At 49.5% G+C, this 21,598-nt stretch overlaps 2 protein-coding genes and 1 long non-coding RNA gene across 18 annotated transcripts in view, besides 9 other annotated features; 1 reads left to right on the top strand and 2 right to left on the bottom strand.

Annotated features, from left to right (window-relative positions):
* Positions 3,928-4,508: an enhancer, noted in NCBI's record as "H3K27ac-H3K4me1 hESC enhancer chr1:154531574-154532154 (GRCh37/hg19 assembly coordinates)". NCBI's record gives its function as "activates a minimal SCP1, AML or CMV promoter by ChIP-STARR-seq in naive H9 embryonic stem cells {active_cell/tissue: H9 hESC(naive)}" and the evidence as "EXISTENCE:reporter gene assay evidence [ECO:0000049][PMID:30033119]".
* Positions 3,928-4,549: a biological region, named in NCBI's record as "H3K27ac-H3K4me1 hESC enhancer GRCh37_chr1:154531574-154532154".
* Positions 4,460-4,549: a silencer, noted in NCBI's record as "silent region_1362". NCBI's record gives its function as "represses an Ori minimal core promoter by ATAC-STARR-seq in GM12878 lymphoblastoid cells {active_cell/tissue: GM12878}" and the evidence as "EXISTENCE:reporter gene assay evidence [ECO:0000049][PMID:35858748]".
* Positions 4,509-5,090: an enhancer, noted in NCBI's record as "H3K27ac-H3K4me1 hESC enhancer chr1:154530992-154531573 (GRCh37/hg19 assembly coordinates)". NCBI's record gives its function as "activates a minimal SCP1, AML or CMV promoter by ChIP-STARR-seq in naive H9 embryonic stem cells {active_cell/tissue: H9 hESC(naive)}" and the evidence as "EXISTENCE:reporter gene assay evidence [ECO:0000049][PMID:30033119]".
* Positions 4,670-4,759: a silencer, noted in NCBI's record as "silent region_1361". NCBI's record gives its function as "represses an Ori minimal core promoter by ATAC-STARR-seq in GM12878 lymphoblastoid cells {active_cell/tissue: GM12878}" and the evidence as "EXISTENCE:reporter gene assay evidence [ECO:0000049][PMID:35858748]".
* Positions 4,850-4,929: a silencer, noted in NCBI's record as "silent region_1360". NCBI's record gives its function as "represses an Ori minimal core promoter by ATAC-STARR-seq in GM12878 lymphoblastoid cells {active_cell/tissue: GM12878}" and the evidence as "EXISTENCE:reporter gene assay evidence [ECO:0000049][PMID:35858748]".
* On the top strand, positions 4,944-15,029 carry UBE2Q1 (ubiquitin conjugating enzyme E2 Q1). Of its 2 annotated transcripts, NM_017582.7 has the most exons (13): positions 4,944-5,379; positions 7,642-7,746; positions 8,074-8,178; positions 8,821-8,871; positions 10,434-10,574; positions 10,786-10,870; positions 11,142-11,202; positions 11,423-11,513; positions 11,627-11,685; positions 11,787-11,835; positions 12,114-12,209; positions 12,602-12,668; positions 13,137-15,029. In NM_017582.7, exons 1-13 carry the CDS (start codon positions 5,053-5,055, stop codon positions 13,166-13,168), a joined length of 1,269 nt encoding a protein of 422 aa, NP_060052.3. In that variant the 5' UTR covers positions 4,944-5,052; the 3' UTR covers positions 13,169-15,029. The 2 variants fall into 2 exon arrangements, with proteins under 2 accessions (NP_060052.3, XP_047280423.1); XM_047424467.1 differs by lacking the exon at positions 12,114-12,209.
* Positions 5,250-5,349: a silencer, noted in NCBI's record as "silent region_1359". NCBI's record gives its function as "represses an Ori minimal core promoter by ATAC-STARR-seq in GM12878 lymphoblastoid cells {active_cell/tissue: GM12878}" and the evidence as "EXISTENCE:reporter gene assay evidence [ECO:0000049][PMID:35858748]".
* Positions 8,578-9,997, bottom strand: UBE2Q1-AS1 (UBE2Q1 antisense RNA 1). The gene is made up of 2 exons (NR_046668.1): positions 9,934-9,997; positions 8,578-8,956 (listed from the first exon to the last, which is right to left on the bottom strand). It is a non-coding gene; the product is annotated as a UBE2Q1 antisense RNA 1 (long non-coding RNA).
* A 429-nt stretch (positions 15,030-15,458) lies between the features above and the next one.
* TDRD10 (tudor domain containing 10) overlaps positions 15,459-21,598 on the bottom strand; it is a 45,929-nt gene continuing 39,789 nt past the window's right edge. For 9 of the 15 annotated variants that reach the window (XM_011509152.3, XM_011509156.3, XM_011509154.3 and 6 more), the window contains 6 exons: positions 21,540-21,582; positions 20,785-20,875; positions 19,496-19,643; positions 19,089-19,234; positions 18,657-18,811; positions 15,459-16,197 (listed from right to left, as the gene is read on the bottom strand). In XM_011509152.3, coding sequence (XP_011507454.1) covers positions 16,049-16,197; positions 18,657-18,811; positions 19,089-19,234; positions 19,496-19,643; positions 20,785-20,875; positions 21,540-21,582 — 732 coding nt within the window. In that variant the 3' untranslated portion in view covers positions 15,459-16,048. Of the gene's footprint in view, positions 16,198-18,656; positions 18,812-19,088; positions 19,235-19,495; positions 19,644-20,784; positions 20,876-21,539; positions 21,583-21,598 lie in introns of those variants that run through there. The other 6 variants (XM_011509155.3, XM_011509157.3, NM_182499.4 and 3 more) reach the window with 3 other exon arrangements.
* Positions 16,706-16,795: an enhancer, noted in NCBI's record as "active region_1779". NCBI's record gives its function as "activates an Ori minimal core promoter by ATAC-STARR-seq in GM12878 lymphoblastoid cells {active_cell/tissue: GM12878}" and the evidence as "EXISTENCE:reporter gene assay evidence [ECO:0000049][PMID:35858748]".
* Positions 16,879-17,173: a silencer, noted in NCBI's record as "tiled region #5559; K562 Repressive DNase matched - State 12:CtcfO". NCBI's record gives its function as "represses a minimal TATA promoter and a strong SV40 promoter by Sharpr-MPRA in K562 cells {active_cell/tissue: K562}" and the evidence as "EXISTENCE:reporter gene assay evidence [ECO:0000049][PMID:27701403]".

The following is a 21,598-nucleotide window of genomic DNA, read 5'->3' as shown; positions in this document are numbered from 1 at the left end:
AAAAAATGACTGAAGGTAAAATAAATAACTACTGTCCTGTCTTCTAATAGCATAGATCGACTTTGCCTGTGGAACTTTTTATAAATGGAAAAATGGAATCATCATCTTCAGTGTGTGTCTGGTTTTTTTTGTTTGTTTGTTTGTTTTGAGATGGGAGTTTTGCTCTTGTTGCCCAGGCTGGAGTGCAATGGCATGATCTTGGCTCACTGCAACCTCCGCCTCCCGGGTTCAAGCAATTCTCCTGCCTCAGCCTCCTGAGTAGCTTGGATTACAGGCATGTGCCACCACACCCGGCTAATTTTTTTGCATTTTTAGTAGAGATGGGGTTTCACCATGTTGGTCAGGCTGGTCTTGAACTCCTGACCTCAGGTGATCCACCTGCCTCGGCCTTCCAAAGTGCTGGGATTACATGTGTGAGCTACCATGCCCGGCCTGTGTCTGTTTTTTTAAAAAACATGTTAGTGAGAATCGTGAACACTGCTGAATATAGTTGTAGTTCATTCATCTTCATTGCTGTGGACTATTCCATTGTATGAATACACTATCATTTATCCGTTTCACTATTGATGGATATTTTGGTTGTTTCCTATTTGGACTATTAAAAAATAATACTGCTGTGAACACTCTTGTTCATACTTTTGGTATACAAATACAGTCATGTACCATGTAATGACTTCTCAGTCAACAAGATTGCAATATACAAAGGTGGCCCCCATAAAATTATAACACTGTATTTTTGCTGTACCTTTCCTGTGTTTAGATAGATACATGAATACATATTATTGGGTTTCAACTGCCTACAGTAATTGCAGGAATTCTAGTGGGCACGGGGAATGCAGCAACTGTATTCACTACAGTATAACATGCAGTACAGGTTTGTAGCCTAGGAGCCATAGTCTAGACCCTATAGGCTAGGTGTGTAGTAGGCTACACCATCTAGGTTTGTGTAAGTACACTATGATGTTCACACAACAAAAAAACCACTGAGACACATTTCTCAGAATGTATCCCACCATTAACTGACACATGACTGTATATGCATTTCTGTTGGGTACATAACTAAATCGCATATTTTTTTTTTAATGGAGCACACTGTAACATAGCTTTGTAACCACCTTTCTTTTTTAAATCTTCAGCTCACTTCAGTCTAATCTTTTTTCATTTACTATTTCTCAAACAACTCTCCATACCAATAAGTATTTTTGATAACTATTTTTCACAGCTACAGTTTTCCCTTTTAGGCAAATTTGTGCACGTACCTTTTCTTTCCAAGTGTAATTGCTGGGTTAAAGTTTTAACGTGTTTTGAATATTAACTGCTAAACTGACTTTCAGAAGCATTGATACTACCAGGCTATCAGGGTTACCCTGGGATCTCAGGCAATAGCCCCAACGACCAACACCTCTACAACTCTTGCCTATGCTGAGCTCCCTCCTTGTCTCTTTCCCTTCCTTTTATTTGAGTCAGAGTCTCACTGTCACCCAGGCTGGTCTGCAGTGGCACCATCTTGGCTCGCTGCAACTTCCGCCTCCTGGGTTCAAGCATTTTTCGAGCCTCAGGCTCCTGGGTAGCTGAGACTATAGGCGCCCGCCACCACGCACGGCTAATTTTTGTATTTTTAGTAGATACAGGGTTTCACCATGTTGGCCAGGCTGGTCTCAAACTCCTGACCTCATGTTATCTGCCTGCCTTGGCCGCCTCCCACAGTGCTGGGATTACAGGCGTGAGCCACTGCACCAGCCCCCTTCTTAAGTCATTCTTTCTTTGTTTTAGACCTTTCTTCCCAACCTCCTTCTACTTTAGGGCCCAGTTCTTTCAGAATGTTCTCCCATTCCACCTAAGAAACTCTTACTTTCACATTTTTTTTGGAGTTAATCCTATTAATAATATCACCCTTCAAGGCCGTTCCCCTTCTTGATCCCTATTATTGTGTTCATCGTATTGTATTACTGTTGGTGAGATTTGGCTCCACTTCATCCATCACTGTGTGCTCCTAAGGGCTGGAGCAAGAATACAACAAAACTAATAAGTAGGAACTGTCCGGTAAGAAGCCTCTCCTCTGTACCACAAATCACGTTCTCACAGGGACCATTATCTTCTTTATCTCTGCATCCCCAGTGCCCTCTACAATTCCTGCAAAGACTAAGTGCTCAGGACATTATTTGTTGAGTCAATGACAGAATTCTATGCTCAGGGAGCAAGTCAAAGGAGAAGGTTGCTCACTCTACTCCAAATATGGGCACCCGTAATGAATGATTTTTTGGAGGAAAAAAAAATCCCTACAATCCATTTTCCACAGAACAGCCAGAGTGATCTTTTAAATTTGTTTTTGTTTTTGAGACGGAGTCTCGCTCTGTCGCCCAGGCTGGAGTGCAGTGGTGCGATCTCAGCTCACTGCAAGCTCCGCCTCCCGGGTTCACGCCATTCTCCTGCCTCAGCCTCCCGAGTAGCTGGGACTCCAGGCGCCTGCCACGACGCCCGGCTAATTTTTTATATTTTGTTTAGTAGAGACGGGGTTTCACCGTTAGTGAGAATGGTCTCAATCTGCTGACCTTGTGATCCGCCCGCCTCGGCCTCCCAAAGTGCTGGGATTACAAGCGTGAGTCACCGCGCCCGGCCGATCTTTTAAATTTTTAAATCAGCTCATGCCACTCCCTGCTTAAAATCCTCCAGGAGTTTCCCACTGTGCTTTAAATAAAACCCAAACAATGTACTGTGGTCTCCATAATCTAGCCCCTGCTTTCTTCACTGGACTCATCTCCTACCCTTCTCTCCTTTCACTAGACACAAGCCTTGCTGAGCCCCAATTTTTAAAAAAATGTTTGAGTTCTTACCATGGGCACTATTTTATGCACTTTACGTGTGTTCTTACATAATCCTCCTAACAAGTAAGTACTATTATGATCTCCATTTTACAGGTGTGAAAACTAAGGCACAAACAAGCTAAGTAATTTCCCCACAGTCACATCATTAGTAGTTGGCAGAGCTGGGGTTCAACACACTAAAAAAGGCAGAGTAGGGTACAAGGGCATGGACTTTGGAGACAGGCCTAGGAACTCTGTTTACAGACTGTATATCCTTACAGAGTCACTCCTTTTCCCCAGTTGTAAACAGGGGTAAAAATACTTACCTTGCAATGTTGTTGGGAGATTTACAAATATTTGCACCTGGGCACAGTGGCTCACACCTGCAATCCCAGCACCTTGGGAGGCCGAGATGGGCAGATCACTTGAGCCCAGGAGTTTGAGACCAGTCTGGGCAACATACCAAGACCCCTTTCTACAAAAAAAATACGAAAATTACCCAGCTGTGGTAGCATGCGCCTGTAATCCCAGCTACTTGGGAGGCTGAGGTGGGAGGATAGCTTGAGGTCTCCCGAGGCTGCAGTGAGCTGAGATTGTGCCCCTGCACTCCAGGGCGAGAGAGCAAGACCCTGTCTTAAAATAAATAAATAAATAAATAAATAAATAAATATATATATATATATATATATATATATATTTGCAAAACACCTTCGCTCAGGAAATAATTAACAGGAATTCCCACCACAGCCTTTTATGCTATCAGCTTGCACACACAGACACAAAGTCAACATGTAGCAAACTGTTCAGGCTACCTAAACCAGATAAATGGCCCCACGAAGACCAGGAACAGACTATAATCGTCTTTAAATACCCATACCCCAACTTGACCAAAGGAGGCCTCTGCAGAGGCAATTGAATAGTCTTCCAGCAAAGGCTAGCTCATTTTAGTACAAGTGGGAGAGAAACGGGGCAATCTGACCAGTGGTTTAAGGGCTGAGTTGGCCCAGCAGAATTGACTAGGCCTTACCACAGGCTAATAACACTTGCCCTTGGCAAAACGAACGCCAGCTCGGGATTTCTGTAGCTTCAACCAGCTTTGTCCTTTGTGATAGTGCCACCTAGCGAGGGTCCGGAGGCACTACCTACTCCTGGCAGCTGCCAAGACCACTGCGACAAGGTGTTAGCCATTTAGGCCTAGGAAAGGGAATGGGGACCACCCGAGTCAGCACTCCTTCCATGACTCTGTGGAGGAAGCCCATGCTGTCCTTCCCCCAACCTCGTCCAGACCCATGGGGTCTGAAAAGCGCGAAAGGCCTGATATTAACTAACACTTGTACATAACACAGCAGTGATCTATTATCATTCCTCATTTTATGGTGTCCTCGCATCGAATCCCTCCCTGGGAATAGGAAAAACAGGCATCATTCTCATGAGAGCCATTGTACAGATGAGGAAACTGAGACTCGGCGGGAAAGTGGTTAACCCAAGGTCACAAAACGCCATGAGAGCCAGGGCTGGGACGAGAATCCACGCCTCTTCCATTCCGGTTCCCGGCTCCTACCCCGACCACCCACCCGAGTGTGAAGACACAGCATGCCCACCCCCACGGGGAGCAGAGGCTCCAGGATCCTGCGCCGAAGACCAGCATGTGGGAGCAGGATAAAGACTGCACGGGGAAGACAGCACTTCTTTCTTCTCTGTCCATGGAGTGCCGGGCACGCTCGCCACGGCTCGGGGGCGGGGGAAGCGGCGCCCGGGGCAGGAAACAGCGTCCTGCGCGGGTAGCCCCTGGGAGCACGCGGCACCGAGTCACGTGAGAGGGGAGCGCAGGCGAAGGGGCGTCGCGCGCAAGCACGCACGACATACGCAAACTCGCACTGAGGCGCCCACAGAGGCAAGCCCCAGGCCCCGGGTCACATGTGGAGGGTGGCAGGCGAGAACAGGGGGGCGGGAAAGACGGAGAGATCACGTGGAGGAGGCCAGAGCAGGGAAGTCACGTGAGGGGGACGGAGGCGGGGCCGCCTAGGAGGAGGAGGAGGAGGAGGGGCGCGCGGCTTCCGGCGGCTGGGGGGGCCAGCGAGCGGAGGGGGGGGCCTGTCCCGGAGGTGGCGGCGGCGCCATCTTGGCGAAGGGGGGATCAGGAAGTGCGGACCGCGGCGGCGGCGGCGGCGGCGGCGGCGGCGGCGGAGCCCGGAGCGCAGGCCGGAGGCTCCCGGCCCGCCGGCCCCGGAGCGGAGCGGAGCGGAGGATGCAGCAGCCGCAGCCGCAGGGGCAGCAGCAGCCGGGGCCGGGGCAGCAGCTGGGGGGCCAGGGGGCGGCGCCGGGGGCCGGGGGCGGCCCAGGGGGGGGCCCGGGGCCGGGGCCCTGCCTGAGGCGAGAGCTGAAGCTGCTCGAGTCCATCTTCCACCGCGGCCACGAGCGCTTCCGCATTGCCAGCGCCTGCCTGGACGAGCTGAGCTGCGAGTTCCTGCTGGCTGGGGCCGGAGGGGCCGGGGCGGGGGCCGCGCCCGGACCGCATCTCCCCCCACGGGGGTCGGTGCCTGGGGATCCTGTCCGCATCCACTGCAACATCACGGTGAGGACCCCCTCGCGTGCGCCTCTGTGGGGGCCCCTTGTCAGGGACCCAGGATCACTCCATCCAGCTTTTTGCTCTCGAAGGACCTGGGAGGCCGAAGCCCCTCTCAGGGCTCAGTTCTTTCTCTCCAGGTTACATTTGTTTCTGCTGCTTGAGGTTATGCAGTGCACCCAGAATCTCTACCATTGACCCCAATAGCAAGGGACACCCCGACATATGGCGCCTAGACTACCCGTTTCCACGAACCCACCCACATCCCAAGGTTCATGATTTTGGCTCTTTTTGGCTACTCCTCCACAACTTTACCTTGCCACCTAGGAATGCGTCTTTCTTCCCCTTACTCTTATTTCAAGGTTTTAGGCCTCGGCACTGACCCTAACTGCAAAGACCTGGCCTGAAACTCACTGCACATTTCAGCGATGCCCCCTTCTCAGTAGTACCTCTGACTTAGGAGGTTGCCACCTGTGGGATCCCCGCCTAGGCATCCCTCATGCAGACCCTCTTGCTCTCTCAACTTCACCAAGTGATAGTTTGCAATTCATTGACTCCTCTTCCTTCTCTCCTTTGGATTCTTTTTCTGGTGTAACCTCTAACTCTCCTCTTTTTGCCTCAGCTGGTAGCAGTTCTGCCACTCCCCTGCCTGTTCCCTATGGATATGTCCATTTGCCCTGGGTTGTTGCTTTTCCTGGTAATGATAGTGATGTGATGTGCGAGGGCTACCCCCATTTATTCTAAGCAGTAACAGTTGCATTTCTCCCCTGTGAGCGTCATTCCATCCTAGGCATACACCTTACATGTCTCCTGCCTGGTCTACCCTCAGACATCCCTTGAACAGAGAATTGGCTTCTGCTAATTTGGGAATGTCTGGTACTGCATGCTATAGCACTTATATTGGTTGATGTTACCTGCTGTGATGGTATTCTCTCTACCGGAGCAGTAGCTGAAATGCTAGCAGACAGTACTTTATCCAGGCAGGCAGACCTAATCGGAGTAGCCTGGGGAAAGGCAGAGTTGTGAATTCTCTGCTACTTGGGGGCCTGAATTCAACTTACTGGTGTTTTCTGTCCGTTTTCTCAATCAAACCAAGTTAAGATTTGGTGAGGTAAAGCCTCAGTTTGGATTGATTGGTGCCCCACCAAAACTCATATGTCCCATTTCTCTTTTCATTTCCTTTCTTTTTTCCTGCTAGAAAGTTAAAATTGAAGGACTAGGAGTGGCTTAGTTAAGTGAAGACTTGGGCATCTTTGATAATTATTTTTCCTCCAGCATTGAGGATTAGAGTCATGGCAATGCTAAGATACCCAGTAGAGGTGGATAAGGTTTCCCTGGCTTGTGTGGGAACCTCGAGTTAATTTTGTTCCTGAATTAAGCTTCTAATTCCTTAAGGGTAGGTTTGCCCCTATCCAGCTGCTCTTTCTGTTGCCAGAGGCCATTTACTGCGTTTGTCCCTGGCAGGAAGTTAAATTTAGGGGGTCCTCAGCCAGACTCCCCATGGCTATAAAGGAGACTTGGCCTAAACTAGCCCCCTTGGTTTGGGCAGAGAGGGAGTCTGGTCAGGCTGCATTTGGCACCGTGGCTCAGGAATGCTGGGAATGTCAGTAGCGTAGGCTTCTTTCTCCCAGCCTGCCATGTGGAGCCCTACAGCCCACGCCTGGACTGAGAAGGTGGCAGGTTCCCAAGGGAGAGGTGGGGAGAATTGGTCTTTGAGGGGCTCTTCTGGAAGTGGTGTGGGTAGATTCTTGCCAGTACCCTTTTACTCTTGGGTTCTGGAGATACAGTCTAGTTTTTATACTTCTTCCCTACTGAACTCTGCTTTTTTCACTTCAGTGTCATTGTGATGAGGTGATCCCTTCCTCAGCCGATTCTGGAGTTTGAAAAGCAAGCTTGGAGGACTGTTCTGGGTCCAGGGAGAACTTGAAGTCTAGAACTTGTATAGGCAGTGCAGGAGATGAGGAGTCCCCCTTCGCTGTTAGCCAAGTTTGGCTGTGCTAGGTTTCCTGGTTTGTACTCTCGAGGAAAGAAAGAAAAGGTTTCAGTCTGCTTCTCGGAAAGGGTCTTCCCAGGGACTGTTTTTCTTCCAGTTTAGAATTTGTTGTGAAGCTGCTTGGTTAGATGCTGACCTAAGTTGGGCTTTTATGTGTGTGTAGGGGGTGGGGGTGGGAAGCAAAGGGGCTAGAAGTCTTGGGGGGAAGAGGACAGGCAAAATCTGGCTTTTCCCAGAGTCACCCATTTTGATTGCTCTTATTGCTCTTTTCCCTTCAGGAGTCATACCCTGCTGTGCCCCCCATCTGGTCGGTGGAGTCTGATGACCCTAACTTGGCTGCTGTCTTGGAGAGGCTGGTGGACATAAAGAAAGGGAATACTCTGGTGAGGGGGCCACAGGGTAGGGGTACATTTTGTTCTTATGAGGCCCATGCCACAAAGGCATCCTGTGAAAGGGATCCTGAAAAGTGGACGGTACACAGCTAAACATTTAGGGGATGACCTCTCGGGGGAGTTGCTTACTGAAGCCAGAGGGAGACCCTGCATCGGCCCTGGGATTGGTCCATCAGGAGACTCATTCCCACAGCCACGTGGCCCATAAGGCTTAGAGAACTAGTTATTGGTGTGGGGCCCAAACTAAGAGCTCATCCATGCACTTATCCAGATCGGAGTGGGGAAGGATTTGATGTCTCTGTGCTCCCCTACCTGTAGCTATTGCAGCATCTGAAGAGGATCATCTCCGACCTGTGTAAACTCTATAACCTCCCTCAGCATCCAGATGTGGAGATGCTGGATCAACCCTTGCCAGCAGAGCAGGTGAGCAGCTGAGGAGCCTCGGGCCCTGTTGTGCAGAGTTGCCCCACAGGGTACTCAGTAAATAATTGAGACAAATCAGTAGTTTCTCTCCATCCCCACCGGCTCCCAAAAACATACACGTCTTATGACTCTCACCCTCGTTCTTCTCCAGATGGGAATCTTCTTTTGCTAAATGGGGCACTGGTAGCTTCATCTCTGATATCAAAATTCATTCTCATGGGCAGCATCCCAGATGTTGAAAGGGAGCGGGGGAATTTTTACCATTATCTTAGCAATAACAGTTGGTGGCCACTGGGGACCCAGGCCCCTTGGTGAGAACCAAGAATGCAATATCAGTCTAAAGAAGATCAAGTAAAGGAGGGGTTCTTAGGAGAATTAAACTAGGATTTAGGAGGTGGGTGACAGAGACAGCCATTTTGCTTTTCTTTTATTCTTTGGCAGTGATAGGCGAAAAATAATGGGCTGGTAGCAAAGCCATTCCCTGGGCTGTTGCTTCCACTCAGATCTGGCTGGTGGAGAGACTGGCAGCATTACAGGCAGGCGCACAACTTCCAGACCTGGGGGCTCAGGGGAGTAGGTTGGAGGCTGCATTCTAGCAAGCCACTGGGGCTCTGATCTCCATCTTTCCCTTCCTTGCTGCAGTGCACACAGGAAGACGTGTCTTCAGAAGATGAAGATGAGGAGATGCCTGAGGTAGGCTTGCCCCCTGAGGTGGCATTGGCTGGAAGCTCTTGCAGTCAGCAACATTGGTACCCATATCCAGAACTCCAGTCTAAAACTGGAGAGAGAAAAATATCAAAGGAATAAAGACAGATTTACTGACCTGGAGGAATAGCCAGTGTAGTAGAGGAGACAGGGCACCCATATCCAACCACTGAAGACAGGTGCAGCGCGGTTCAAACCAAATACTGGGTAAGTTAATTTCAAATGGCTTTGGAGTCCAACAAACCTGTGTTTGCATCCTAGCTATCCTAATTGAGGAATTTTATGTAATCTCACTAAGCTACAGTTTTCTTATCTATAAAGTAGGATTATAATACCTACTGCATATGGTTGTCTTGAGATTAAATGAGGTGTTATATATAAAATGCTTCAGATGATACATGATAAATGCTAAACAATCTATCTGATATATTCTCTAAAAACATACAGAATATAAAATCATGGTTAGGAATTTGAGCTTTAGAGCTAGACAGAACTTGACTGAATCTTAGCTCTGCTAAGAGCTGTGACTTTGGGCATGATAATTGACCTCACTAGACTCAGCTTCCGCATCTATAAAATGGATAATGATAGAATAATGAGTGATGGTGGTAAGAATGAAATGAGCTAGTATCTGCGGCACCTAGGACAGAACCTGGCATGTAATAAACACTCAGTAGACATTACCTGCTGGTGTGGTAATTAGGTATGTCCTGCCAGAAATGGGGAGATCACTCTGATTACTTTTATTTCCTAGCATTAGATTAATATCCCAGGTTCTATAACCGTGTAAGGTTCTTGAGACTGGCAAAGGGCTGACGACATGAAATTTACTCCTCCCAGATAGTGGACAGCCCTCTGGGCCACACCCCCAACATCTGGCTGAGGGGCTCAACCCTACATAGGTTCTCCTCCTTCCCTATGCTCAGTGAGCTAGTTGCTTGCTCACTTAGAGCAGGATGAATAAGGGGCTAATTCTGTTCTTGACCTCTTCCATATATCTCTCTGGACATCCTTTCTCATTTCCATCTGGCAGTGCGTGCCTCTGCATACCTGATTCATGCCTTGCATTTGTAGCGAGGAGAGGAGATGTAATGATTCAGGTTTCTCCTTTAGGCTTGGGGCCCTGAGAACTCCCGGGTGCAATAGTCACCTGGTGAAACATGAGCTTTGAGTCACAGGGTCAGGCCCAAGTCATTTCTGCTAGGAATTAGGGAAGAGTTTCTGCTGCCAAGGGAGTTTTAGGAACAGTTGGAGCAGGGTCAGTCCAGGAAACAAGAGGGCTAAGTCCCTGCCTCGATCTCAGCTGCAGCTCTGCTCGTTTCCGAAGTCCTTGCTGTAGCTTGAGAGCTGAAGATTTAGACTGTGGAGGGAATGGGGCTGGAAATTGTTCTAAAAATGGAAAGCACGTTGCGTTTATAAGACTGCTAGATGGACTGCTTCACTTTAACTTTTGGCTCTTCGCCAAATGGGACTGGGAAGGTGATGGTCATTCTCTAACCTGTGTCGGTTTTTTTCCTTTTCTTTTCACTCCCACCCCACACCTCCTCCAGGACACAGAAGACTTAGATCACTATGAAATGAAAGAGGAAGAGCCAGCTGAGGGCAAGAAATCTGAAGATGATGGCATTGGAAAAGAAAACTTGGCCATCCTAGAGAAAATTAAAAAGAACCAGAGGCAAGATTACTTAAATGTACGTGCCTTCTAGAGAGAGGCTGGTGAAGGGGTTGGTGGGAAATGGCTGGGAAGTAGTAGGCCATCGCATCTCAGTATGGAGAGCAGACTCCTTTTTTGTGCCTAATCCTTTCTTAAATCCTGGGCAAGCTGCCAGACTGCCCCTAAGGTCTAACGTGTGTTTATAAACCACACGACCAAGGAATGTTCCTGTCATCCGTCCCTCACAGGGTGCAGTGTCTGGCTCGGTGCAGGCCACTGACCGGCTGATGAAGGAGCTCAGGGATATATACCGATCACAGAGTTTCAAAGGCGGTGAGTTTGCCCCAGAGAGGGGCCTGCACAAGAGTCACCCATAAAGAAGGGTATGGTGGCAAGGGGCCCAAGAGGTTCTGGGGTCCAGGAGTGCTTATGAACTTTTCAGGCCAAGAATGGAGCTCCTCAAGCCAGTGGCTTGGTTGCATGTCCATCTGTGGTGAACCTAGAGCTGTTGATCTTTTTCTCTCAGTCTGGGAAAGGGGTCTGCATTAGAGACCACTCACCACCTGGACCATTCTACTAACACCTGTTTTTTCCCTCCTTCCAGGAAACTATGCAGTCGAACTCGTGAATGACAGTCTGTATGATTGGAATGTCAAACTCCTCAAGTGAGTGGGGACTCTGGGATTGGAGAGGAAGTTGAGGAGGAGTGTGAGTGGGGCTACTGTGGTGGGATCTCCAGGGCAGCCCCATCCAGCATTTTCATTCAGGGTCCCGGAGCGGGTGTGGGCAGTGGTTTCGTGGTCTGCTGCCAGCCAGGGCAGGGGAGCCCTTATGAAGCTCCTGAGGTGGAACCAGGCATCTGAGCCCAGGCTTGTTGCTTCTTAGAGTTGACCAGGACAGCGCTTTGCACAACGATCTCCAGATCCTCAAAGAGAAAGAAGGAGCCGACTTCATTCTACTTAACTTTTCCTTTAAAGTAAGACTTTTCTTTTCCAGTCTCTCCCTCTGGCCTAGGCTGCCCAGTCTGCCTGACAGTCCTGTGGAGGATGCTGGCCTCCCTCCCCTGATTGTCGTCTCTCTCTCTCTCAGGATAACTTTCCCTTTGACCCACCATTTGTCAGGGTTGTGTCTCCAGTCCTCTCTGGAGGGTGAGTGGCTGGCATGCGGAAGAGGGCATCTCCTCTGGCAGAGGGCGGGGAAGAGACTTGGAGATTTTGTCAGGCACAGCTGACTAACCTTTCTCATGCAGGTATGTTCTGGGCGGAGGGGCCATCTGCATGGAACTTCTCACCAAACAGGTGAGCCTGTCTCTCCTCCTTGGCCAGGCCGGCCTGGGCGGGGATTGTCTGAGCTTTACAGCACACACCCCTACGGGCTGGGTGATAGACATGATGTGGCCCTTTCATTCTGCTGGGCTGGGTCTGCACCCACTGACCTAGACAGACAGGTGGTGGCAGTGCTGGGGGCAAAGGGCAAGGGCCCTCCTATAGACACAGCTGATTGCCCAGAGGACAAGCATGAGGGTTCTCTGGAAGCTCCATCTGGACCTGCTTGCCTTGTCCTTCCCTTCACCCAGGGCTGGAGCAGTGCCTACTCCATAGAGTCAGTGATCATGCAGATCAGTGCCACACTGGTGAAGGGGAAAGCACGAGTGCAGTTTGGAGCCAACAAAGTAAGGATCCTGGTCCTGGGGCTGGTGGGGCTGGGTGGAGCCAAGTACACTTGGGGCCACTAGCAGGCCAAGGCTGCCTTCTTTAGAGGAATGAGCATAAGGCCCCCGGGCTGGTGGCATTGGATGAGAGGGCCTAGGGTGCCCACAATGGAACAACTGTGCCTTGGCCCCTAGGGGCACCCCTAGGACTTTTGGGAGGTTTCGGGTCTGGAAAAGGAAGACTATGGGATTATGCCTCCAAGGGACCTCGAAGGTGGAGGGTACTTAGTGTTTTACTAGACCACAGTGCTGGGAGCTGGGACTCTGGGGTCTCTGGGTGACAGCCTGCAGAAGGTGAGGGGCAGTAAGGCCACAGCTAGCCATGGCCTGATCTGGTGGCTTCCTCTCCCCAGTCTCAATACAGTCTGACAAGAGCACAGCAGTCCTACAAGTCCTTGGTGCAGATCCACGAAAAAAACGGTGAGGCTGGAGCCAGGACTCAGGAGATTCGGACACTTGCCACACCCAGGTTTTCACTTCCAGCCACAGAGCAAGAACCCCTTCTTTTGGTTTCTGATACTCAACCACCCATTAACACAGCACCTGCCCCAGTTCTCCCAGGAGGGACTGGCGGTGGCTAACATTCACAACCTCTTCCAGAAACACACCAAAATGATCGTATCACCGATAAACTTGGTGCTACCCCCTTCTTGACCACCTTTTGAAAAAGCTCATCTAACTCTCCCATCATCTCAGGTTGGGCACATCATTCCCCCTTCTCATCTCCAGGTATGCAGGCTCTCAGCTTCCCATACACCTCTCCCCACACAGCATAGCCCTCCCCAATATCCTCTTATCTCTGCCACTGGAGACGTCTTCAGGGATTGGGGCAGGACAGGGAGGGTGGGCCTGAACCTTCACCTCACTGACCATTCCATTTCTTTGCAGGCTGGTACACACCCCCAAAAGAAGACGGCTAACCCTGGAGTATCACCCTTCCTCCCTCCCCAGGCACCACTGGACCAATTACCTTTGAATGCTGTATTTGGATCTCACGCTGCCTCTGTGGTTCCCTCCCTCATTTTTCCTGGACGTGATAGCTCTGCCTATTGCAGGACAATGATGGCTATTCTAAACGCTAAGGAAAAAAAACAAACACAGAACTGTTTCAAGTACTCAAGACTGACTTACAGACCAACCAACCACCTTGCTGGAACCCTTGCTAGCAGGCATTCTTATAAAAGAAACTTTCGAGCCTCCTTATATTGCTGGAAACTCAGCTGTGCTCCAGACTAGAGCCTCCTTACCTATGCTATGGATTTTTAATTTATTTTCTCTTATTTCATGTACACTGCTTTTTTTGGTTACAGTGTATGATGGATGTGTATGAAAAAAATGTATCTTTGGGAAAACAATTACAGTTTGTTAATTTGAAGATGCTGGTCTTGACTCATCTTTATTTTTATTCGCACATCCCACCCCATCCCCTGAACTACTTGGGAGGTGGGGAGGGGTACGAGTCCACTGTTGCTTTGGTAGAGATGAGAGGCCGCATTTTGCTGCTAAAGCAAGAGAAACTTGGAGCTGAAGCACACACCTGGTCTGCCCCTAGATTTCTCCTCAAGGCCTCTGGAGCAACCAGCACTTGCCCCCTTGGAATGCAGAGCCTGGCCTGCCAAACTACAATGTGGTAGGCTGAAACGATGGTGTTAATTCTTAGGACTACTTTTCTAGTCACAGATGTTTTCAAATTTCTAAGAAAAAGAAAATGAGGCTCAAGAGGCTGCTTCGTAGAATTCCTTTTGAATGAATTGAGTGGGGATGGGGACACAGTCTCCAAGTGTGTATGTGGTCTTTTCTGATCTCAGCTGTGTGGCTGCAACTCTTCGCTGTTCATTGGTTCCTCTCCTGGAAAGTGGCTTCTAACCAGCACTGGATGGTGATCATTGGTAAGCTTTGCTCACCTCCCTCTCTCTTGCTTCATTTGGCTTTATCAAAAAGAACAGACCTAGCTCTGAATTTGTTTGGCTTGGGAAATTATGGATTCTTTCAAGCCACTCCCACAAGGTGGGTCCTACTAGAAAGGGTTAGCATTTTAAGGGGGGTTGTTCTATACACCTGTGTCCTTACCCCAGGCTCAGGAACTGCCAGGGAGGGAAGATGAGGTGGGGAGTCTGTACTGAGATGGAACTGTCAGTGCTGTGTTGTATGTACTTGCTGTTGTAAAAGTTTGGGCATGACTTTGCATCTAGCGGGTGCTGCCTGCATCTCTTTGTCTGTAAGCTTGCTCTGGGACTCAGCCTCTTAGGACCTACGATGCCAGCAGCTCTCATTAACAGTGAAATGACAGAGGCCAAAGATGGCCAAGTGAAGACCCAAGTCTCAGAAAACCCAGACTTGGGACAACTGCCTGGGAACTAGGATGCTAGAGCAGTTCTGTAATGCTTTGAGACACAGCAATTTTCACATTGGCCATTCTTTCCCCTCCCCTACCCCTTTTCTTTTGAGGGACTTTTAATGTTTGCTGCTTTAGGTGGATGGAGAGTCCACCAGTCCCACTCAATGCTGCTCTAACTCTACCCACACCCACCTAATTAGGGGTGCTAATAAAACATGCTGAGGTTGAGATAAAGACGGGACATAAGGGGAAAATTCATTCCATAGAGCTGAAATCTGGTTTTCAAGGCCTCTGTGGCTTTCTTCTGAACTTACCACCAGCCCTGGCTGGAATGTAGATTGTGTTTTTAGTAATGTGTACTGTGAGCTGTCTTCTGTATAATGTATTTTGTAATGTATTTTTCTCATCTACCAAAGGATGAAACAAATAAAATTATTTAAATAGTTTGGCTCTAATAAAATTATTTGAAGAAACAGTGGGGTTCCTGTTCACTTGACATAGAGGGAAATGCCTGCCCCTGTGAGTTGCATAACACCAACTAACTCTAAGAGAATCCTCCATTTTTCTTGCCAAACCCAGCACTCCCTTTTATGACCTTAAGTTTAGGGTTCTAATAAAGTACAAAGTATAAAAAAGAAACAAGGCCATATCATCATGAAACAATTTTCTTCTCTCCACTTAGAAGGCAAGGAGAAATAATGAAACTAACTCTTAGGTTGTTCCCCTACACTTCAAACATGTATCTATATCCCAGGCAGGGTTTGCATGGCCCAGAGCCCACACTGGCAGGCTCTAATCTCACTGCAGCAGTTTTAGAGGGCACGGCAGGGCAGTGGAAGGGTGGCTGGAAAGAAGTATCAATCACTCCAAACTCATGAAACATGCCAACATTTATTTGCTCATTGGTTAAATATTCTCTACCTATTCTACATGGAATGCCAGGAAAACCAGCAGAGGGCTTCTCCATTATCCAGAATCTGTTAGGACCACTTATATCATGCTCTGGGGTGCAAAGAAGAGACACAAGAAAGACCATCCCAGCTGCCTCAGGCTTTCAACCTAATGGTAGTTTCCTATGTTTGGTTCAAATGTTCATGCCAAGTTGGGGAACTGAAGACACATGACAAATGAGACTTCACTCTCTTTTGAGAGGGAAGCTGGGAGTAAAAGCAAAATTGAATCAATCCTGGGCACAGTCTGGCCTTTTTCACCTCCCAGGCCTCAAGAGTGAAAGGGGTACGAGAAGACAGGGCAGGTGGCCTCTGGATCCGTGGCAAACAGGAGAGGGAACATGCTGAGGGAAGCCCCGTTATTTAGACTCTTCAAACTTTAGGATGTGCAACTGGAAGAGAAAGACAAAGCCTTGGTGGGAAGGAAGGCCCACCCGAGCCAGTTCACCCAACCCCTCAGATAACCAGTTCGTTTGATCTAAAAGAATGCCAGGTAAATACTGTGTCCAGGCCTAGGCAGCAGCCTGCTGCAGACACCCCAAGGGCAGGAGTGGAGGGACAACAGCCAAGTTAGATGCAGGAGCAGTTACCGCCGAGTTCAAAGCACCAGTGATTTTCCCTTTGAGGATTCGATGGACAACCTCATACGAACTCAAAATGTCTGCAAAACAAGACACAACAACAAAACCTCAGTGGCACGGGGTTGGGCAGGAGGAGCAAAGGAGGGAAGCAAAAGGCGGGGGCTGCAGGGAAAGTGCTCTGGCCGCCAACCAGCTCCAACCAGCAAGTCTCTGCTAGTTCCTGCTAAATCCCTGCTGCCAGGATCAAATGAGATGATAAATGCTGAAAAGGTAGCATAGGGGGAGGGCAAAATAACAGCAGATAAAGGGAGGAGGCACTTGTTAAAATAATTACAGGGATCTGGGATTTTTAATGAGAAATTCTACTGGGGACAGAAAATCACGTTCACTGAACTCTGCTCTGAGAGTTCCGGCTGGATAGAAGAAGGTTAAAACCAGAGAGGTTTTCACCATGAGACGCAAGCACTCTTACATGCTGGAACCAGGCAGGGAGCTCATCAAAAACCCACCTTTCCCCAGGATGTCGTCCCTCACGCAACTCCCACCATCCCACCAGAGTCCCCAAACTCTGGGACTGTTTGTATGTATGACACTGAATCACTAAGAGTCAGACCTAGGTTTCATCCCCAGCTATGCCATTTTCTTGCTATTAAGTATGAGTTCATTTCACTTTTCTGAGCTGTATTTTCCTCATCCATAAAGGGAGGAAAACTGACGCTTGTCTGACTTATCTCTGGGTTGGGGACTCTGGCCCTTCTGACAGGCTGGGAGCTGCACTTTGAAACAGGAAGCTCCTCTTCCCTGGGTCACCTGAAGAAGCTCCTGATGCCTGGCTGTTCCCAGCCTGGGCAGCAGGGACCCTCTTCATGCAATGACCCAAGACAACCTCTGGGTGGTGCTCCCTGCCCACTGGGCACAAGCCCCACCAGCCTCCCAGGAAGCCTTGGCCCTGCACAATTGGGAGATGCCTTTCCATCTTTAAATATATATATTATATATATCACGTATTATATATTATATATGTTACATAATATATAATATATATTACGTGATATATATAATATATACGTAATATATAAATTACATTATACATATATTTTATATATATATATATTTTGGCCGGGTGCGGTGGCTCGCACCTGTAATCCCAACACTTTGGGAGGCCGAGGAGGGCAGATCACGAGGTCAGGAGTTCGAGACCAGCCTGACCAACACAGTGAAACCCCGTCACTATTAAAAATATAAAAATTAGCCAGGCGTAGTAGCACATGCCTGTAATCTCAGCTACCCAGGAGGCCGAGGCAGGAGAATCGCTTGATCCCAGGAGGCAGAAGTTGCAGTGAGCTGAGATCACGCCACTGCACTCCAGCCTGGGCGACAGAGCAAGACTCCATCTCAAGACTTAGTTTGTCTGAGGGCCGGGCACGGTGGCTCACAGCTGTAATCCCAGCACTTTGGGAGGCCGAGGTGGGCGGATCACGAGGTCAGGAGTTCGAGACCAGTCTGGACAACATAGTGAAACCCCATCTCTACTAAAAAAAAAAAAAAAAAAAAAAAAAAATTAGCTGGGTGTGGTGGTGCGTGCCTGTAATTGGGAGGCTGAGGCGGGAGAATTATGTGAACTTGGGAGGCGGAGGTTGCAGTGAGCCGAGATTGCGCCTCTGCACTCCAGCCTGGGTGACAGAACGAGACTCCATCTCAAAAAAAAAAAAAAAAAGACTTAGTTTGTCTATAAAACGTTTCCATCTCAGCTAAGCGCGGCAGCTCATGCCTGTCATCCCAGCACTTTGAGAGGCCAAGGTGGAAGGATTGCTTGAGCCAAGGAGTTTGAGGCTGCTATGAGTTATGATTATGCCACTGCACTCCAGCATGGGCAACAGAGTGAGACCCTGCCTCTGAAAAAAAAAGAAATTTTTTAAATAAAACTTTTCCATCTTACTTCCTGTGTATGTGTATGTATGCTTCTTCACCTCCACTTCTCCTGACTGCCCCCTAAAACATTCTTTCATCCTTTTACATTTCACCTAACTTCGATCTTGAGAAGGGGCCTCTTCATTTCCACCTATGGAGAAACCCACAGGTGTCTGAAGCTAAATGAATCACATTAGGAGAGTGCAGTGCTAAGTGCTGTGCTCTGGCGTCTAGCACTGGCATTCGAGTGCTAGTTTTCTTCTATGGCAGAATCTTTTTCCAGTGAAATCTGAAGCAACACGCCAAGTATGTAAAACAGATGAAAGCTGAGCAGCTCTGGTGGAAGCAGGGGTGGGAAATCTGCCCTCTTCTCTCCCCTTCCAGAGAACTCAGCCTTTGGGCAGCATCTGAGGTCCCTGTTGGGATCTTGGGCTCCAGATCCCAGGCATGAAAACCAACACTTGAGAGGCAGCTTTGCAGGGGTCATATGCTGAAAACTGGGGTTGGGTGGAAAGAGAGACTGAAGCACCTTGGCCGCCCACTATGCTGCTTCCTGTTCAGGTCCCAGAAGCAACCATGGCTTCTCCTGTCCCTGAAACCCTTGGGAGGAAGATAGAAGATGTCTCACCTTTCTCCAGCATGAATGGCTGAGTCAGGGGTGGGATGGTCCAGAAGTCGTCGCTGTCTAGGCTGCGCAGAGACTGCACAGGGATGGTGGCCAACTGTCCAAAATCAATGAACATGACCACAGCCCAGGTGTCCACCCTGTCCAGCACCCAACACCTGGCAGAGGAAAAGAGAAAGACAGAGGACAATCATTCCGCCTAGTGCCATGCACAGCAGTCCTCAACAAAGTGGATGTGAAAGTGGAGGTAGGAGGGAGGAAGAGCGAGTTTGCTCTGTTTCTCCCCAATCCTTGAGTGAGGAAATAAGGATAAAGATGATTTTGAGAGAAGAAGCCACAGGAAAAAAAACCAGAGCCCAAAGGAAGAGAATGCAAGAAGGGAGCATTTTCCCTGCACGCCTCTCCCATAGACTCTACCCCTGCCCAGGCACACACCTGTTCCAGGCGTGTCCATAATCCCCCAGGTGGTACTCTGCCAGACAGCGAGTCCCGCGCATAACGGTGGAGCCCTCCAGGTAGGGCTGCTGCTCCTCCGCCTGAGCCAGGGTGCTAAACAGAGCCTGCATGTTCTGGTGCAGAGCCTGTGGGGTGCAAAACGCAACGGCCCCACTGCCTGCACTGCATTACAAATCTGCCTCCGTAGACGTCACCTGTTATGTTAGCACCGCTAATCCGTCCCAAGGCCATCAGGTATGAGGTGGGAGAGAGAACGAGACTGAACCCAGGATCAGACCGTAGTTACCCTGCATCTCCACCACTGACCGGCCCCGTCACCATGCCCACCCTAGGGAGGCCACGCAGGAAGGCACAGGAGCCTGAGGGGGCCAACAACCAGTCCATACCTCAGTGACGTGCATAGCCCAGAAAAACGGGGTCTTCGGGACGATACTCGTCACCAGCAGCCCCGCCTCCCCACGGACGCTATGGATGAGTGCCAGCCAGCTCAGGTCTCGGAAGCATTCCCTCAGGAGCAGCACCAGGAAGGACCCTCTGCGGGAAGAGCAAGGGGAGCAAGGAAAGGAACGACTGGACCAACGCAAGGAAAGGAACGACTGGACCAACGCCTGTCCTGCAGGAGGCTGAACTGCCTGGGGGATGAGTCCCCTAAGCAGAAAGGCTGTGCCCACCCCCTCTAGGGTGGGAGCTAAAGCCAGTTCCCAAGTAATCCCAGTCCACGGCAGAGGAAAGGAAGGGCCATTCTGGGGGCGTAGGGGTTGAAGAGTTCAGGAAAAGGAAGCAGCAGAGGGAAACAAAAACACACTGAGAAACTCCGAGAGAGGTGGATAAAAGTCCTCAATGGGTAGATTTGGGGCCTCCTAAGTGATTCACGAGCCTCTAAATGATGCAGGTGTGGACTGTCCACCATGCAGGATATGCCTTCCATCCCAAAGCTGCTCCTCCCCTGCGTCTACGCACATTCCAAATGTCACCCTGCTGCTCCACTAACTCAATTACCTGCCTAAACCACACGGGGCTAATGACACCCTACAGCATTTCAAGTCAAACTGAGTATTCTGGCACTCTTGACATTAAGAACGGTATCCGCTGTTAAAGCAAAGCAGGGGACATGGTGGGCATGATGATCTCATGGCATCCAGGGCAGGGGACGGTCACAGGCCTTTGCTGTACATAAGTGGAAGCTGATTTTATCATTTTGTTTTATTTATTTATTTATTTTGAGATGGAGTCTCACTCTGTCACTCAGGCTGGACTGCAGTGGCACAATCTCGGCTCACTGCAACCTCTGCCTCCTGGGTTCAAGTGATTCTCCTGCCTCAGCCTCCCAAGTAGCTGGGACTACAGATGCCCACCACCATGCCCGGCTAATTTTTTATTTTTAGTAGAGATGGGGTTTCGCCATGTTGGCCAGGCTGGTCTTGAACTCCTGACCTCAAGTGATCCACCCACTTTGGCCTCCCAAAGTGCTGGGATTACAGGCATGAGTCACTGCCCCCGGCTGGGAAGCTGATTTTATAAGTCAGTGTGGGTCACAGCCTTACAGCCTGGGTCTGACACAGGAGTTCCCGAAAACTATCCCCCACCCCAGTACTATCCTTGTCCCCACTCTCTGGGGGACAGAGGATGTCTGTAATCGCCATTTGCCCTGGTGGTCTTTCTATACCTTGCTCACCTCATTTCCAACGGGACTGCAAAGAAGGCTGCCCTCAGTTTCTCTGTCTCACACAGGTCAACAGGAGCTTTAGGAGCGAGCTGTATAATAGCTAGAAAGCAGAAGACTAAGTCCTGGAGGCACCAGAACTACCCAGAGAGGAATTGCTCCCCTAACCCACAAGAGGCCTTGGCCCTGCCCTCCAAGGAAGCATAAAATGGGCCAAGAAGCTGCACCCTCCAACTTCTCAGTCTCTAGATTCTCATCTGGGCGGGAAGGGTCAGTCGGATGATATTCTTTAAGAAAGCATCCTAGGGCTGGGTATGGTGGCTTGCACCTGTAATCCCAGCACTTTGGGAGGCTGAGGTGGAAGGATCACTTAAGGCAAGGAGTTTAAGACCAGCCTAGGCAACACAGCAAGACTCCATCTCACAAAAAATTTTAACAATTAGCCAGGCATGGCGATGCACACCTATAGTCCTAGCTACTGTGGAGGCTGAGGAGGGAGGATGGCTTGAGCCCAGGAGTTTGAGGCTGCAGTGAGCTATGACCATGCCACTGCACTATAACCTGGGTGACAGAGGAAGATCTTGTCTCAAAGAAAAAATGAAAGCAAGCAAGCAAGCATCCTAGAGGAAGAAAGGGAAAAGGGATATTTCTACACTAAGGGTCATCAGGGGACTGAGCTGGAAGGGAGGCTGCAGAAGGGGCTGGAAGAGGTCCATTAGGAGCTGCAAAGCCACATCCTGGGAAAGGATGGCAGCGCAGAATCTCACCGGCGGTTTTGCCAAATCCTTCACCAGAAGCCTTCTCCAACACCTGGGAAGAAAAATGA

This window comes from Homo sapiens, chromosome 1, assembly GCF_000001405.40.
Source record: "Homo sapiens chromosome 1, GRCh38.p14 Primary Assembly".
In the NCBI taxonomy this organism is placed as follows: Eukaryota; Metazoa; Chordata; class Mammalia; order Primates; family Hominidae; genus Homo; species Homo sapiens.
This window is presented reverse-complemented; position numbering and strand designations above follow the sequence as displayed.

Coding starts and splice junctions, on each gene's coding strand:
- UBE2Q1 (NM_017582.7), top strand. CDS start 5,053: ATGCAGCAGCCGCAGCCGCAGGGGCAGCAGCAGCCGGGGCCGGGGCAG. Junction 7,747..8,073: donor TAAAGAAAGGGAATACTCTG/GTGAGGGGGCCA, acceptor CCCTACCTGTAG/CTATTGCAGCATCTGAAGAG. Junction 11,203..11,422: donor TGGAATGTCAAACTCCTCAA/GTGAGTGGGGAC, acceptor GTTGCTTCTTAG/AGTTGACCAGGACAGCGCTT.